Source organism: Homo sapiens, chromosome 2 (genome assembly GCF_000001405.40).
Source record: "Homo sapiens chromosome 2, GRCh38.p14 Primary Assembly".
Classification (NCBI taxonomy): Eukaryota; Metazoa; Chordata; class Mammalia; order Primates; family Hominidae; genus Homo; species Homo sapiens.
Window position 1 is genome coordinate 146,382,921 of NC_000002.12, and position 18,584 is coordinate 146,401,504.

Genomic DNA, 18,584 nt, shown 5'->3' on the forward strand with positions numbered 1-18,584 from the left:
TTTTAATTTCTTTACACTTTCTTTGTTCATCTCTCCATATAATTTTTACATAATTCTCATTTTCTATACAATGAAGAATTAGAATTTTCCTCTAATATATTTAGTTCTTTTTTTTTTAATAGATACTTTAGGAAAGTTACTGTCAGGCTTACAGCTCACTGTTGGTAAGAGCATGAGAACTTTTAGGATTGTTGTTAAATGTGAGGAAACTTCTTTCAAAGTCCTTTTTTCAAAAAAAAATTATAGCACACACACATGTATATACAAATACATATATAGATATACATGCACACACATATATACATATATACATACATACACATATGTTGCATATATTTGTTACATATATGTGTGTGTGCATATATATATACATATACATATACATACACACACATATATACACACATATGTGTATATATAGACACATATGTGTGTATATATGGTGTAAGTTTGAGGAAAACTTCCTTCAGATCAGCTTTTGATTTAGAAAATTCTGAACCTTGTTCCTTTTCTACTACCTGTATTCTTCCAGTGCCAGGGCACCATAGCCCATGATCATTTTGCAGCATGATCTCTGAGAATACACCTTTGGGTGGGTCTGTCTGCATAGAGAATAGGTACAGAGGGTGGCGAAGCACACCTGATGGCCATCCTTCATTAGGTCGACTAGCAGAAACCAAACACAGGAGTATATGGTAGTAAGATTTAGCAGATAAAAATACAGGATACCCAGTTAAATTTGAATTTCAGATGAACAACAAACAATATTTTCTGGATACACTTACACTTAAAAATTATCCATTGTTCATCCAAAATTCAAATTTAACTGATGTCCTGAATTTTATCTGTCAACCATACAGAAGCATCCGTGAAACATGTAAGTATTTAATATAAGCCACTAAACTGAATTTAAGGTATCACCAACTAGATTTCCTCAGAGCAAAATCCCCAAATGGGATCTGGATACTCTAACACTGCTTGACCAGATAAGGGCAATGCAGAGGAAATCAAAGGGGAAATAGGCAGGAGTTTCAGTCAATTATAGTTAAAATATTTCACTTTTGCAACTTTATGACCATGTATGCAAAAATAGGGACTACACAAACACATTGCCACGGCCACTACCAGTACCAGGGACCCATGCAAGTGAAGAACCCTAAAGCTTAGCCTGATCAGCCTTGAAGTTAAGTCTACCTACTTCACTGGATCTATAAAAGACCACAGCATATTGGCCTATGTCAAAGTACTGACCATGCACCAAAACTTCCCCAAAAGTTCTATCAGCACAACTTCTGAATTCTAAATTTTTTCCTCTCTGATCATTCATATAATATTGTACTACATTAGCTCATGCTTATTTGATTGTAATTAAAAACTTGGTGATTTTTTGATTCCCAACTAGGTATCCAGATGTATATCTATGTGTATACTGTATTTTTTTCACAACTAGGTTTTAAATTCCTCCAATGCATTGTGAAGGCTTTGCCCCCTCCTGATATGCTTCTTGGAGTTATCCAAATAGGACCTAAGTGGAGGAAGGGAACAAAAATATTTAGTACAATAATGTATTGGTGTTCTTTTTGAATAATTAGACAGTAGTATAATTTAAATGAGGTAATATGACTTTTTTGTTTAGGAACTTCCTGAGTGTCTCTTTAGATGTTTAAAATAAGCCCAACTGCATATGATGTTAGGGAAGAAGGCAATACACATAGAAGGACAAATAATTCTGCATAATCATAGGAAAAGAATGTTTCTACAAGCAGCCCAGGACACAGTGTAAGAGGGGAGGAAGGAAAAGATGTCTTAAAGGTCTGAATGAGAAGGGAGAGCCCAAGTTTCACAGAAAGAGGCCAGAGTTCTGCAGAAAAATATAGTCAGTTATGTTTTTCCAAGGTGTTGGATAGTAGATATTCTTCACTTCTAAGTATGGAAGTGCCTAATACTGAATTTTAAGGATCTGTTTCACACTAGTAAGTTCTGATAATTCTTTTCTAATTCAGCGGTCTTCAGTCAACATCTATTGCACACAACAAATTTGATCTAGTAGTACTTTGGAAGAATTAGAGGATAGGCAGTCTATTATGTGGCAAGATGGAGCAGTAAAATAGGAAGATCTGGATTTAGTCGCAATGTAGCTACCTTCCTTAAAACAGGCTAGATTTTGGTCGCTAATTTGGTCCAAGGGACCACAGAAATGCATGCGAAAATTGATTGAGGCTGTATAATACATGAAATACTGATCTGGAGCCATTGGTTTTGAATGTCTTTCTTTTTATAAAAAAGGAACTGAAAGTGAAAATAACATGCAGATACTATCAAAGTGGACAACAGTTAGCAATCTATGCTTGCTGACTTACATCTGTCCGTCCTTTCTCTCACCTGCTTTACCTTCTAGCACACTGATTTATTTTTGTGTTTTATCCCTTATCCATCAATTACTTGGGCAAAGCTGGGAGAAAAAGGTCTTTCCTAGCTCATACCACTTCGAGCCATGTCTATCACACACTGCATTTTATTCCCAACACTGTTGAGAATCTCTTGTTTCCTTGCTGCCCTTTATTTATAGACCATCTAGCTACATTCCCAACACAGGTAAAATGTCAGGCAATGTAAACCATATTTCCCTGCAGCCCTTTGGCCATAACGTTATAAAGAAAGCACCTTTAATTTATCATGTCCTCCTTGAGTGCCCACAGCTGTTTCACTTAGGAGAGCCCAGCATCCTTCTGTGGAGAGCTTGGAGCAATTTGACAAAACTAAATCAAGGGGTTGCATGGGGTGATCTCTAAGATCCTTTCCAGCCTAGAATTCTGTGCTGCTAGGACTCCATCCTCCACAGATAAATGTTCAGCTGAGTGCAGAGAAAAGAGCCATACTTTACTATTATCTGATATTAAGGGCAAGAACACTTGGCAGTTTGCATAATTCCTGGCTAAATATTTGTCAGCCTAAGCTGTAATATATGTTAGGTTATAGTTATCTAAAACTAAAATTAAATGTCTAGAAAAGTCTATTGTGGTATATAGTCTATCCATATACTTTCTTGAGGAGTTTTAATTGAAGAGGTAAGGGCTAGGGTAAAGGCGATATGTGCAGGGGTTTCTTAAAAGCATTATTTGACACCTCGTGAAAAAGAACTTGAAAAAAATAAATATATTCCTAAGAGTAATTTTATATTTATTGCACTTAATTTAACAAATTATTGCGGGAAACACATAGACAGCATTTTCCCAGTAAAATTATTATACTTAAATGAACTTTTGACAATGTATTAATTACAAGGACATGACCACATTTATTCTGCTGATCCAGTAATTACACACATTAAAGAAATATTTATCCACAAACCATGCAGTGTATTTCAAAACAGCACTTATTGCCAAACTACATTTCCTGGATATCTGTGCCTGATTTCCAGTTACTAGTAATTTTTTAATTTTAAGAGAAAGGGAGAAGTGATGAGAAATTTGAAAAATCTTGTATAAATAAATGCTTATTGATTTAAAAAATTGAAATGCAGATCTTTTTAATCATAGACCACTTCTACTTGGAAAAATAATTCTGAGGCAACTAACACCATGTGTTTCAGATGGGAAAGGGAGAACAGTAATCATAATATTTCAAGCTCGTTCCTTCTTTCCTATCTCTAGTCATGAATAAAAACATAGCTAAATTTTAAACTAAAATATGACTTCATACTATAAAACAATCAGAGAAAAATTAATATAATTTGCAGCTGTCTGGAAGATTCAAATATACAGTTTATTCCAGAAAGTTTGAATACTTTTTATGAAATCTTAGCAATTGTTTACAATACAGTTGGACTAGTTCTACACTTGTAGTAAACCATAGATACAAACATGCTCATCTTCACTTTGAATGTTATAAAGCACAGTGGGAGAAGGGAGGAAAAGAAGCCTTTTTAAATTCAGGTTCTAAAGTTAGAGGTGTAATGAATGCGAAGAACTGGCAGGTTGAACTCAACCAAAGGGACTGTTTCTTTCTCAGTGGCATACTTTATTTAGCTTACCAAATAATGAAAACATTTCTATTATGATATTTGAAGATCTGATATTACATTCACTTCCCTATGTCTTCGGAAAAGTTCTTATTAACTGAACATTTCAAACATGACACTTAAGAGATGCCCTAACCCCTTGCCCTAACCCCTTGGATAATTGGATGAAATAGCAAGATCTAACTTGATTTTTAAATTTTACATGAAAGGAAAACCTAGAAGCTTTTCTTGTTCCTTCTTCAGGTGAAAAAGGAGGAAATATTATCAAAAACTTAGTACTTCATGTGAAAATAATAATAAAACTAGAAAGAACAATGGAAAAAACTATGTTTTGTTGAATGCCTTCTTTGAGCTAGCATTTTATATATATTAGGTCATATAATCCTCACAACTTTTTAAAAATGGGGTTAACTGCAAAATACACATCTAGATAAGAAGGTTGAAACTAGTATAATGTAGGTCATGAGGTGATTAAGTCCAAAGGTATCCTCCAAACAGTAGAAAAGCTCCAACATACTGGTTTTTTAACACACTCAAGGTTTACAGAAATTAAAACACATCATCAAGTTGATGCCACAATGTGGCAGTGTATCCACTCCTCCTACATTACTGTGCCAATTCCCAAAATCAAATGGTACATCTTAGTACTGATGAAGTAGAGGAGAGTGTTTCCTCAAATACCTAGAAGAGACAGGCATGGAAATTGTTAGGTGATAAAGGTCATCACCAGTGATCATGCAGCTTTGCATAGTGCCTGAGACACTATCAAATGAATTCAAGTCTATAATATCACCTTACTCATTGTCAGTGGGGCTACATCAGAACTTGGCAGAAAACAGATCAATGAGATGGTTACAAGGCCTAAACACAGAGCAGGAAACCTCACTTTTGATTGTGTGTCTGCTGTGGGAACACAGATAAATTTGGGCAGAATGAAATCTATAATACTTTTTAGCTCTAAATTCATCAAAGATATTTCTTAAATTATAAAGCTGCTTAAATAGACACATGAATGTCTTTTGAAAACCCACTTGTAGATATAAAAATACTACATGCTTTAAGCTGCATAAACAATTCCTGCTATAAAATTTAAAATATTACTCTTATTAAAACACAGAAGTAGGTTCTTATAAAAGTATGTTTTAAACGTATTTTTAGGTATAAAGTAGGGAATATTGTTCTTGCCTTGGAGAGAACAAAGTAGGGGAACAAAAGAAAAAAGTAATAGGACTTTCATAACCCAAACTATATTTATTAAAATTAGAACATTCTGCTCCCCACCAAATCTTATTAGAATACCCTCATTGTAATTCTGCCTGGGTTACTACATAATCTGTTTCTAGTGTTGTCAGTGATTGAGAAATAATACGAATTAAAGTGCGTTAGATCAAATAGATAAATATAGGTATGACTAAAAAGGCAAATGAAAGATTGATATGAATTCTCTTCATTTATTTATTTATTTTTTTTTTTTGAGACGGAGTCTCGCTCTGTCGCCCAGGCCGGACTGCGGACTGCAGTGGCGCAATCTCGGCTCACTGCAAGCTCTGCTTCCCGGGTTCACGCCATTCTCCTGCCTCAGCCTCCCGAGTAGCTGGGACTACAGGCGCCTGCCACCGCGCCCGGCTAATTTTTTGTATTTTTAGTAGAGACGCGGTTTCACCTCGTTAGCCAGGATGGTCTCGATCTCCTGACCTCGTGATCCACCCGCCTCGGCCTCCCAAAGTGCTGGGATTACAGGCGTGAGCCACCGCGCCCGGCTTCATTTATTTTTTAAATCCTTCATTTTGATAGCCTACCTTTCTGCAAAATTACATATAGAGAAATAAAGAAAAAACAAGAGCTTAAAATGTATTTTAAACTTTTCTTGCAACTAATTATGTATTTGTTGCTCCTGAGTCACAACTACTGATATTTTTGGCTTCCAGAGCATTCTATGAAAAAAGTTGTGATAAATGTTTTGCTTTGACTTCATACACCAAAGCCTTCACTATCTGGCCAAAAATCTATTTTCGTGGGTTTTGTGGTTATGGCAATTAGGCTCCCACATTTGGCTATGTCCCAAGAGTCAGAGAATCCGGCCATTAGAAAGTAAGACTCCAAGCATAGAATCCTACTTCTGTGCAATTAGATTAAAAAGATATGCTTTCCTCCCCTCCAAAGAAAGTGTTAACTCATGAAACTCTCAATCAAGGATTCCTCCTTTCTAGCATTTATTTCTCATCATCCATCACAACCAAGGTGAGTGTAAACTAAGAACACCAGGATTTCAATAAGTAATTGATCACTGATTACATGCTACATGAACAGACAGAGAAAAGAAAATACATTAATATATGCTTAAAATATGATAAACTTCAACCTTCGTTCTTGTTAAAAAAAAAACAAAAAAAAAAACCACTATGCAATACTAGGTTAATTTGGTTTTGTCTGAAATCCACAGTCAATACCATATTTATTGGTGAAAATCTAAAAGCAAAGTTAAATGGGTTTATTACATCAGTACAGTTTCTAAACATTGCTTTAGGAATTCTGGTCACAGGAAAACATCATGCGATGTAAGTAAGAAGTAAAAATGCTGGAAAGTGATCAAAATGTATTTTTTTTCAAAAATTTTTCTCCACATCAACAATAACTACTGAAGTAGTAATAGCAGGAAAAAATTGTGGCCACCATAGAAATTCTTTTCAAATAAACAAAATTATTCTAAGAATAACTCTAAAAATGTTTGTAAAGGGCCAATGTATTTTTTAATAATTTCTCTAAAATACTAGGTATATTTTAGTAGATACCATAGAACATAGAATCCAGATTTTCCTAAACCTTAAAAAATTAAATGTGTAAAAAAAATCACAAGTCTTCTTGAGATTTATAAGTTCAATATCACAAAAAATAAAATCTTAATGGGCCTATTTTGTAGATACAAAACAATTCTAAAATTGTTTTGTCAATACAAAACAATTCTAAAATACATAAGGAAGCAAGTAAAATGTGGGTATGTATGTTGGGCGTTTGGTTCAGTGTAAAGAGGTATGTACCCTATACAGCTAAGGTAATTATAACAGTGAAGTAACAAATCAAAAATCAAAGGACAGATTGTTTGCCTTTAAGTCCTAAAGAATGCTAAAGAGGCAAGGTTAGCTTTTTGCAATGGAAATATTGGAAACTCTAATGAAAATACTGAGAATTAAGTATTAACTGATAACTAAGTACTTATACCCAACTCTTTGCTTTATTAAATAAATATAATTCTCTAACAACGGTTTCATAAAAGAACAAAATAATAATAATAATGAGACGGAATAGTTCCCTTGACCCCTTTGTGGGACTCATGAAGGGGTGGCTTGCTTATTCAGCCAGCAGCTCTCAAACCCCTTGCAGGAGGGGAAGCATGCAGGTGAGCGGTTGCAGAGGCCAGAACAAGTGCTTCTGCGCACAGGCAGGATTAGAATTCTGCGCGGCTCTGTGGCAGCATCTAGGAGTTGCCTGAGACCCTTGGCGCCCCAGAGGGCATGTGTTACAATCAGTGCTCCTTTTAGCATTTGCCATCTGTGGACAGTTAGGTGTTAATCAGCTCAGGCTGGTTTTAGCATTTGCCATCTGTGGACAGTTAGGTGTTAACCAGCTCAGCCTTTTACACCCTTCCCTCTTGGAATCCAAGTTCTTGTCTAGCATCTAGGAAGAATCAGGTTAAATGAATGAAGAGTGGGTGAATGTGGAGGACTTTATTGAGCAGTGGATGTGGCTCTTAGTAGGAAGGGGAGCAGGAAAGGGAGTAAAGTGGTAGGATAATCTTCTCCTGGAGTCTGGCTGCCGGACTGACCTCTCTGACCATAGTCCCCAGTGTCCAGCTGCTTCTTCTCCTCTTGATGTTCAGACGCTTCTGTCTTCTGTGTGTGTGTCTACTGAGTCTGGGGTTTGGGGTTCTTATGGGCACAGGATAGGGGTGGGATTGGCCAAAAAGGTAAGATTTGGGTGAGAAAACAGGGATTGTACTCACTTTGGGCCATGGGTACAGGCTTGAGGGTGGAGCCCTCACAGGGACCTCGCCCTCTTCTACCCAGTATTTCCCTGACTGTCTATATCAATAATAATGGCATAGACTAGAAGAAAAGAAATACTGGAATATTAAGAGTTGTTATGCCACTCTTAGATTATAGATAAGATTATCTTTACTTTCTTCTTTATATAACTATTGCATTTTACAAACATTTTTCAACGATAATGTGCATTATATAGAATTTTTATTTTTTAGAAAAAGCTACCTTGAAAATATTATTTCCAAATTTACCTTACCCAACCAAGTCAGCCACACTGTGTCATTTACTATGGGTCAAATATTATTCTAAGTAATTTTACAAAATTAACTAGTTTAATAATGCCAACTATAGATTAGAAAACCTAGGTAGCATTTCCTCTAAGCTAAGTGGTAAAACAAGAATATGATCCTAAGCAATTTTTCTCTAGAGGTCAAACTTGAGCAAGATCTAACCAATGACATTAGCTTTAAGGTTGCATCAGGTATTTTGACTCAGTTTATGGCATTTGCACACATAATAAAGTTAACAGAGATAATTTCATCGCTTTGCTTTCAGTGCATTGCAAATACTTCTGTTCATATATAACTAGTTAAATAGATTTACTGCGTCTATTTTTTTACCTAAATTACCTAAATACTCAAATAATTTCCAAGTAAGATAGAGTATGGAAACATTGATCTCTAAGCATATTTTAAGTGTATATGTTTTTTTGCTTTGTATTTTATATGCTATAAAGAGGCTATAGTTTTTGGTCATGATAATAAAACTGCTCATATTTGACACATTAAGAAGGTAAGAGCCAGATGTGTGCAGCTGCAGAAAGGCATGATGTGTGTACCCATGAGTTCTGCTAGGCTGCTCACATGCTATAGTTACTAGGCAGTTCTTGAGTGTCCAAGCCTAATTCCTCTGTGAAATCGAACTTAGTGCTGGGCACGGTGGCTCACGTCTATAATTCCAGCACTTTGGGAGGTCAAGGCAGGCCAATCACCTGAGGTTGGGAGATCGAGGCCAGCCTGACCAACATGGAGAAACCCCATCTCTACTAAAAATACAAAATTAGCTGGGCTTGGTGGCACATGCCTGTAATCCCACCTACTCGGGAGGCTGAGGCAGGAGAATCGCTTGAACCCAGGAGGCAGAGGTGGCGGTGAGCCAAGATCATGCCATTGCATGCCAGCCTGGGCAACAAGAGTGAAATTCCATCTCAAAAACAAACAAAAAAAGGAATCATCGAAGCTGGTTCCTTTGACTAAAAATAATTATAAGTGGCTGAAGTATCCTAACAGTAATAGTGACTAAGAAAAGGAAACTTCCTTGGGGAAGTAGAATCGTCTTTGGTTTCAGTAACACAGGGGGCCCCACAGCCTTGGCTGACTCAGCCCTGGCAGCCTGAATCTGTCCAGACCTGCGGGACCGGCCCCACCCCCACATCTGCTGTCTTTCATCCTCCCGAGACCCTGGGTCTGGGCTAGGGAGGGCTCCCACCCACCACAAGCTCCCCCGCAATCAGCCACCCCCCAACTTCACCCGCGACCCCCTTAACTGCTGCTCCTGTCTTGCGGGATTTGCCACCTGTGCTTGGAGGCGCCCCCACCACCTCCATGCTGGTGGGCTTTAAACCATTTCCATGAACTCTCCAACCCCCTCACTCTTATCTCCTCACTTGTTCACATCAAGTACTTTCATTTAAAATATAAGGACATGGTTGCAGAAATGTAATTCTCCATGTATTATAAACATTGATATTTTAGAAACTGCCCCGTCCTCAGTGTCTCCAGTAACGCCGAGACCACAGCCACTCCCTTCTCACCATCCACTAGAGACCACAGCCACTCCCTTCTCACCATCCACCCGAGACCACAGCCACTCCCTTCTCACCATCCACCCTTAAAAGTACAGCGGGAAAACCACAGCGTCCTTTCTACTCCAATTCACAGTTCACTGCACCCCGTTTCTCCAGGGAGTGAGTACTCAATGCTTGGAAGTATTTACTAATTGCCAGATTACATTCCCCACAACAAAAAACGTTTTTGAAATTTAAATAGCAACGTAATTCTTGTGTCTAAGAGCTGCAAGTGTTAAAATACTTTTCTGGATCCGGTTATGGTCCCATTTTTAGTAACAGGCAATTCTTCCAAACTACATGAGGAATCAAATATTTATATTATGTCATGTGTACATTTCCATCGCATATACATGCTTATATCTATATAAATATATGGCATAAATCTATTTACATAATGCATGTGTAAATATTGACATGGGATATGTAATATGGTATGTGTGCTATTTATTTATGTAATTAATATATCAAAAATTTTTAGAGTTATTTTAAAGGAAAGTACACCTTGTGGAAATGGATTGGGAAATTTCAGGAGTCTCATTTGGAGGGCACCCTAGGGTCCCTGCGGCCCCTCCCAGGACGTGCCTCTGGAGGATTCGGGATGGGGGGGGTTGTTCTTCCTGGGAAAAACAGGAGCTGGGAAGTCTTAACGAGTGTGTGCTGAGTTTTTATTTGTTTATTTGTTTATCCAAGTAAAAAGAGTAGTCTTGTCCTAAAGACATGGTTGTCATTTTTTTGGTCTCTGGACCAAAATTCTTAAAACTTTTTAAGGATCCTAAAGAGCATTTACAGCTATGGCTGGTTAAATCCTGTAGTTTCCTGGGCTTCATTTCTTTGTGTTGGGAGAATGAGTTCTTTTAAAAGTCTACTGTGAGAGCCATTTTGAAAACTTCCAGAGAGAATTTATGGCTGTAGTAATTTCAGTATCTTAAGTTTATTCCTTATGGGTTAATCTTTGAGATTTTTATGATCATGAAGGGGGAGCTGGTCAGTTAAAATTGCGAAAGACTTTGAAATAGGCACTAAAGATCACTGGATGCCATGATGAATGCACCACTCTAGACCATCTGACCTTCCATTGTGTCTGAATCATTTTACAATTTAGTGAATTGTAGAAAACAAACAATACAAATGATTCTTGTACCTAAAAATGCAAACAGATTTTGTCTAGTGGAATGCAATTGATTGTTGCCCTGTAGATACCTGATCAATGCTCTGTGGATATTGATCAGTTTCAAATCTATTTGTAAATTTATTTCAGCATTCCTCATTGGTACTTATTCTTCCTCTCTCTCCACATGTAATACACACATGTATATATGCATATAATGCATTCTTTGAATCCTTTGTATTGTATTTGTATGTATATATCTTTGTATGTATTTAATGCCTTCTTTGACATTTCTTTTTAATCAGTTATAAATCTTACTAATTCTCTCATTGATTAATTAGTTAAAATCTTGGATATGCAGTGATTAAAAAATAAACTACTTCAGAAATCATTTGCTCAGACAACAGTAGGAGGCAGGAGGAAATGAGATGCATTCCAGAAGAAGAAACAACATGTGTAAAACCCCCATAGTAGAGACAGCAAGACCTACTGAAGAAACTGACAGAAGGGCAGGTACATGGGACAGGTAGTATGAGATAAGGCTAGGGAGGGTAGACAGGATTCTTGCATGCTGGGAATTTCAGGCCATATTGAAGAGTTTCATTTCTATTTTTATCTCAAAAGAAATGGAATTCCATTAAAGTGCTTTAAGGTGGGTAAAGGGAAATGGATTTTAGACACTTAGGTGTGATTTCAAAAAGATAGTCTTGTGCAATATGGGGAATGAATTGGAGAAGAGACTGTAGAAGCAGACTGCTGTAGTTCAAGTGAGATATTACGGAAGCTTGAAAAAAAGTGTTGGCCTTGGAGCTGCAGAGAATTGGATCAATTTGAGAGATATTTTCTAAAGCAAAGACTTATCTATTCATTAATCCACTGATGAATAACAAATATTCTGACATTTCAAATATAAAATTAACATAAAATTTTCTTTTGGATGTGCTTTTGAGTCACTGTTAGTTTGCTTGATAGAGTAGTGACAAGAAGGAAAGAGAGATGGAAGCATTTGACAAATCACTAACGACAGGCAGCATTTGTTGCAGATGAGTTTTTGAACAAGGATTGAGGCAGAGTTGCAGGTTGCTGACATTGACCAGAAAAAAAAAATGTTTACCAGAATGTAGGAAGGATGTGATTGCTTTATTATTTTCGAATAATTATGTGTGTATAAGTATGTGTGTGTGTGTGTGTGTGTGTGTGTGTGTGTGTGAGTGTCTGAGAGGATATAGTGTTGTCATTAGTAGAACCTTTAGTCAGTCACAGAGATATAAAACAGGCTCCAGTTTCATGTAATTGAAGAAGGTGAAGCTGGGAAAGTTGTGTTTCTGTCATAAGCACAGCATTACTTGTCTCAAAGGAACTTGACATAGGACTGCAGCTACCAGCTTCCTTCATCTCCACCACAAGCACTTTGAATCATCATTGAAAATAAATATTCAAGAACTCACAAATGTATTTTTTTTAGAAAGAGAAATCTTGAAAATTTTACCCCATATGCAGAAGATACTTTTATTCCAGTTTCTAATACCTCCATGCATGAGGCTTCTTTGGCATTTCTAGAGTGTTCCCTACACACGTCAAGAGAAACAAAACAAAATGAAACCAAAGCACACAGTTTGGGTTTAGAGGGTTGAGTTTATTGCATTAGGGGAATGGCAATGAACATAAGAGATATTATATTTAAACTGGCATGCTTCTTGTTTGGAGTATTTTAAGAACCCTATGTCTACAGAGTTAAGAAAAAAAAAACTGCACATAGATATCTGAGATCCCAAGCCTTTAAAAATGGTCTTTTAAAGAATTCTGTGATAACCTTTTATAAAACAGCATGTTAGCACCACCAAGGATTGCTTATTATTCACAAAAGTAAAAAGGTATCTTTGTAATTGGGAAATTAGGCAGATACCATCTTAATTAAATGGTCACTCAACCTCCCCAATAGTGGGACCAACTGACATTGATTCCTTTCATTGATGGACTGAGAACACATCATCTAACTAGTAGTTCAGCCAAAAATGTTTAACTAGACTCTAAACATGAGGAAACAATCTAATGAATCCAAATCGAGAGATCTTGGGGCCTTAAAATAGCAGTTTATTAATTTTAAAATACTGGAGAACCAATACATGCAACATGCGGCCCTTGGTTGCATCCTGAAAAAAAGCAAAATGAAAACACAAAGAAACAACAAAACAAGTTACAGAGAACATTATTACAGTAATGGGGGGAAACTGAGAGTGGAATGCACATGAGATAGCAGAATTGGATCAATGTTAAATTTCCTGAATATTTTAGTGTATGTGGTTATATAGACGAATATTCTTGTTCTTTGGCAATACATGCTCAGGTATTTTAGGAGGAAGCAAGAGACTGAAGGGGAGGTTGATATGGCAACATGGTAACAATTAAATAAACTTGCTGAAGAGTTTACATATGTCTGTTGTACCATTCTTTCAACTTCCCCGAGGGTTTCATTTTTCTTGAATAATAACTTGGGAAAATAAAATTATTAAAAATTAAAAATCCATTATGTGTTTAGTGCATGCTTGTTTTGAAATAAAAATCAGTGCTAGGCGATTTCATATAGTTTTAGGTGCCTTGTTTAGTTTCAAAACAAACCTGAAAGTTACATGATCATTTCATCATAGATGAAGAATAGAAACTCAAAGTAACAGGAGCGATAAGTCAGTTCCTCATTTCCTGACTCCAATGCCATCGATGGGCATGCTTTTCAGAAGGAAGGCTACTGTTTGGCAACTATCCTCAAAAGCACTTCTTTAACCTCTCTCAAGACCCACATGAGAGAAATTATAATTCTAGAACTGGGCATCTGAAAACCAGAGAATGCCCTCAGAGAAAGAAAATTGTTTCTTTCTGTGTCTTCATCTAATCCCTAGTCCATAATTTTTACTATTTTTAAAGCAGTATTCCTTAAAGCCCTTCTTACATAAACAATAAATACCTGTCTCTCAACATTTGCCTTGGTTCCTCCACAGAATCCTTACTAGCAATTTTCCTTGAAGTCATCAACTTCAAGTTTCCTAGTGAGCTTATCTACTAAAATATCAAACAACTTTTTCCAGTTTAAACTTCACTGTGGCCTATCTAATTGATTTTTCAAATGCAGCTAACAGCTACGTAACCTCTGGTGTACACCCTGCAGTTATTATTGTGTTATCCTTATAGGCCTTCCCTAGGGGGCTGCTCCAACTGCTGCTAACATTAGACCCCACCATTCTCTTTCCCAAGTATCTGCTACACAGAGCCACTGGCACTGCAGACATCAGCACTGTGCAGCTTCTGTCAGAAAGCCTCGTTCCTTTCTTCTTGCCATTTTGTAAATTTTGCTATAAACTTGGAGTATGTACAATTACCATTTTTTTTAAAAAAACTTCCAGCATGATACTGGTATGTGTACATGTGTTTCTTTTTTTGTTAGGACTCATTTTGAGATAAGTTTCTGAAATATAAGACAGAACACAAGTCATTTTGATAATTTCTTTTTTTCTCCCTGTTTTCAGTGGAGGATTCAGCTTGACTATAACATAATTTTAGAATTCAAGGATATCTACATTTATCTGAAGCCCAGGTCAAAGGCGCTCATTAAAAGTGAATTTGGATAAGCTGAGATGTGAGTGTGGAGAGAGAGGACATCTTAAAGGAAAGAGAATAGGGCTAGCTCAAAAACAATGGCTTTGTCAGTGAAGAGTGATTCAGAGCAGAACAATGATGTGGGTCACATGTATCTCTGCTGGCCCATCTCTTGTGAACTCAGGCCTGGTTCTTGAGGGAGAGGGTACAATAAATGAATGAAACTTTTTTCTCTATAATTTTCATAGACACTGAGAACACTTAATCAGTATCTCACCACAGGTGGAAGTGACAGAGGCTAAAGCAAGCTTGGCAATGGCAAATGACTGAGACAGAGGTGATGGCAATAGTATCATTGCCTGCTGCAGCCATGCTTGTGATTGCAATGATCTCTCCGGGGCTTGGGCTATAGAAAATGTGTACCATTGGCACAATTCTGGCCTTAGGTAATAGCAACCTTCATTTGGCTTCTTCAGGCCTAAGTAGAAACCATTGTAGGGATTGGTGAAATCTCTTTAGTTATTGACAATTAGTGGGGCAGTATCACAATGAGTCAGAAGAGGAAAAAAGACAAAAATATTACATTCCACATGCTAGCATAAAAAGCTAATTCCTAGAGCATGTACATACAAGGTCCCTGTGGAAAGTCAACCAATTAATTTAGAGGTAATTAGAACTTCTAGAGTTCCTATATACTGGATGTAGGGGAGAAAGGCAGAGAAACAAAATGGTTGGCTCCAACTCTCATCCTATTATTACTTCAAGTTGGAATACCCATAGGTAGGAATGCTAAGCTTTTTCTTTTTAAAAGAAAAGAAAAATAAGCCTATTTTTATGACACCATGTTGTCATAGCCTGCAATTTCTTCTTGACTAATAAACAATAGAAATGCTACCTTCCTCTGAAGAAGTTATTAGAAATAGCACAAATTAGAAACCAATCATCAAACATCTGAGATCCTAGAGATTTGGGGATAAAATGTAAAAAAATATAGAACTCAATAAGAGAAACTAAATTCATTGTCAACTGATAAATTTGGTTTAAGAAACACCAATTGCAGTGTCACCATGCTATTTATTAATATATTATAGTGAATAGACAATTGAGGTAGAGACATATGAAATGTCTACATCTGGGAAAAGATCAGTTGTTATTGAAACAATAATGATGGGTTAGCTCTGTTCTATAACTAATAAAATCCAACTAGGCATTAACTCATATCAAGGGCCTCCTGGAGATGCAATGACTAGGTGCCTACGATCAACTTGCCAAAGACCACCAGAAACACCTGCTGATCAAACAAAGTTTAGTAGATCTAGAGCAGTAGGAAAGAATACTACCTTGACACAGAGGAAGTGTATTTAAATGGTTGTAGTTCCTAGTCTGGATGAATTAAGGTAGGTCTTGAAGACAGGGCTTGTGTAGGATGGACCTAAGGGCTTTGGATTGTAGGCACTAAGAGATGGGTTTTGATGAGCAAACTGTTGATCCTGAAAAGCAAGCTGTTTAGTTGGTTCACATTACTATCTCCTGGACAAGTATTAGCTGAAACAAGTAGCATTTGTTTTTCTATGATCCCAATAAGATAGAAACAAAAAAGTGACAGAAAAATACATTTGATTTTAGGATTATTTAAACTGAGGATAGAAACATATTTGGGTTTTAGTTTTCATTGAAAACCTATGTTTGTAGTTTAAGACTCTGGGAAGGTATATATACCTTCAATTCTTTCTTAAGGGATATACATTCATTGACTCTCAATCTTCCCAATGTGGAGATGTAAACTAATTTTTAATTTAAACAAAATATTTTGTCCAATGAAAGACATAGTATTTTTATATTTTTAAGTTTTGCTATCAAAATTTCCCTCTGTCATTCCTATATTAGGTTGGTGCACAAGTAATGAATGGCAAAACCCGCAATTACTTTTGCACCGACCTTATATAAAAAGAAGTGTGGGAGGGGAGCAGTGGCTCACACCTGTATTCCCAGCACTTTGGGAGGCTGAGGCGGGCAGGTCACCTGAGGTCAGGAGTTCGTGACCAACTTGACCAACATGGAGAAACTGCGTCTCTACCAAAAATACAAAATTAGCCAGGCATGGTGGCACATGCCTGTAATCCCACCTACTCAGGAGATTGAGGCAGGAGAATCGCTTGAACCCAGTAGGCAGAGGTTGAGGTGAGCTGAAATCACGCACCATTGCACTCCAGCCTGGGCAACAAGAGCGAAACTCCGTCTCAAAAAAAAGTGTGTATACAGATGTGTGTCTTCAGTGTTTATATTTGTATTACATATGTAGTGGATATAAGATAATATGTATATATGTGTTTGTTAACTTGCAAATATAGCTTATGTTTTCAAATATTGGGCATATATAAATAGGGAGGCATTATTTTTTAAAAATAGATACGTTATTGGAATTTGTTTTTCTTACAATATGTCATAAAGTTTTCACATATATGTGCCTCTATGTGTCTATAATGCCTAAGATAGGGGGAAATAATTCTTACTTGATAATTCTATTATTAGGATTAAAAGGGTTAGCATACATAAATTACTTGGAATAAGACCAGGCACATAATACATACCATATATGTGTTTAGTAAACACATTTATAGTTTTGTCATTATTATTGTTTTATATTTTCTATAGAAACTTCAGTCAAAATTTTAGACTACAAAAAATTCTGTGACTATTTCAATTGGAATATTATCTACACTTTTTAGATTAGTAATGTTAGTGAGAATTAACATACAAAACTACCTAGATTTTCTTATCTAGGAACATAATGTATTTTCCTCATTTATTCTAGTCTTCTTTTACATTTTTAAGATATTTTATAGTTATTTTGATACATAATTTGCAAATTTTATATATTTAGCTATTGGGGTTTGTTATTTCTTTGTATATGGACCCACGTTTTTCTTAAACATTTTCTATGTGTACATTCCTGATGTATAAGAAAGCTATCAATTTTTATATTATCTCGTATCAGGTATCTTCTTGGACTTCCTTATTTCTTCTAGTTGTTTTTCTGTTAATTACCTCAGATTATCTAGGAAAATCATCATATCACCTAGAAATATGATGGTGCCATTTTTCTTTGCCTTTTTCTTGTCCTAATTTTTCTTCTTAATATTGTCATAAATTGAACTTCCAATCTAGTGCTCAAGAGAAGTAACAAAGGACTGAGTAACCTTTACATTATTCACTGTCTTTTCTTCATTACTCTTCCTCCCCAAATTTAAGAATCTCATTAGGATATTTTCATTTGTCTTCCCCCATTTATTATCACTTATATTTAATTCAAAAGCATTTTACTTTTAAAAAATTATTACTTTATCATTGTGCATCAAAAAAAATTAGTCATAGCTGTGTATTTACTCTTTTGTTTTTTCTTAATTTTTCTCTTTTTCCCTATATCTTCTTTTTTGAATTAAAAAAATTGCTGGAATATCACCTTTAGAATTTATTTCTGGTACAGCATGCATAGGGAAGTTTTCTAAACCATTGCATTTCTGGAAATGTCTCTTTCTTGCCCTGTCATTTAATGCTAGTTTGACTGTATATAAGATCCTATGTTTAAAATCTTTTTTCCTTCTCGACTTGGAAGATGATATTTCCATTGAGAAGGCTGATGCCATTCTGATCTTTGCTTATTTATTCAGATTTCACCTCATGCTTATTTCCCCATATAAAATCTGAGAAATCAATAGGCATATTTGCACCATTCTTTGAGGATATGAAAAATTACCCTTGCCCCTCCCTGCTTTACTTTTCAACAGTAGGCATAACAAGAGAACTGTATCAAAGTTCTTGAAAGTGTAAGGCAACTTAGAAGTGATGCTAAAGCAGAAGCTGGAGTTCTGGAAATCAGCTGTAAGCAATAAAAAGTGCTGACTTATTTGAGTGAAAGAATGGAAAGAGTAGAGAGCCAAATGAGGAATGTCAGGACAATTCCACAGCTGGGGA

General features: G+C 36.2%; 1 long non-coding RNA gene across 2 annotated transcripts in view, besides 1 other annotated feature; it reads right to left on the bottom strand.

Moving 5' to 3' along the window:
• Positions 1-18,584, bottom strand: part of LOC105373667 (uncharacterized) — a 210,228-nt gene that overhangs the window by 179,797 nt on the left and 11,847 nt on the right. The gene's annotated exons all lie outside the window — the stretch shown is intronic.
• Positions 9,031-9,532: an enhancer, noted in NCBI's record as "H3K4me1 hESC enhancer chr2:147149519-147150020 (GRCh37/hg19 assembly coordinates)". NCBI's record gives its function as "activates a minimal SCP1, AML or CMV promoter by ChIP-STARR-seq in primed H9 embryonic stem cells {active_cell/tissue: H9 hESC(primed)}" and the evidence as "EXISTENCE:reporter gene assay evidence [ECO:0000049][PMID:30033119]".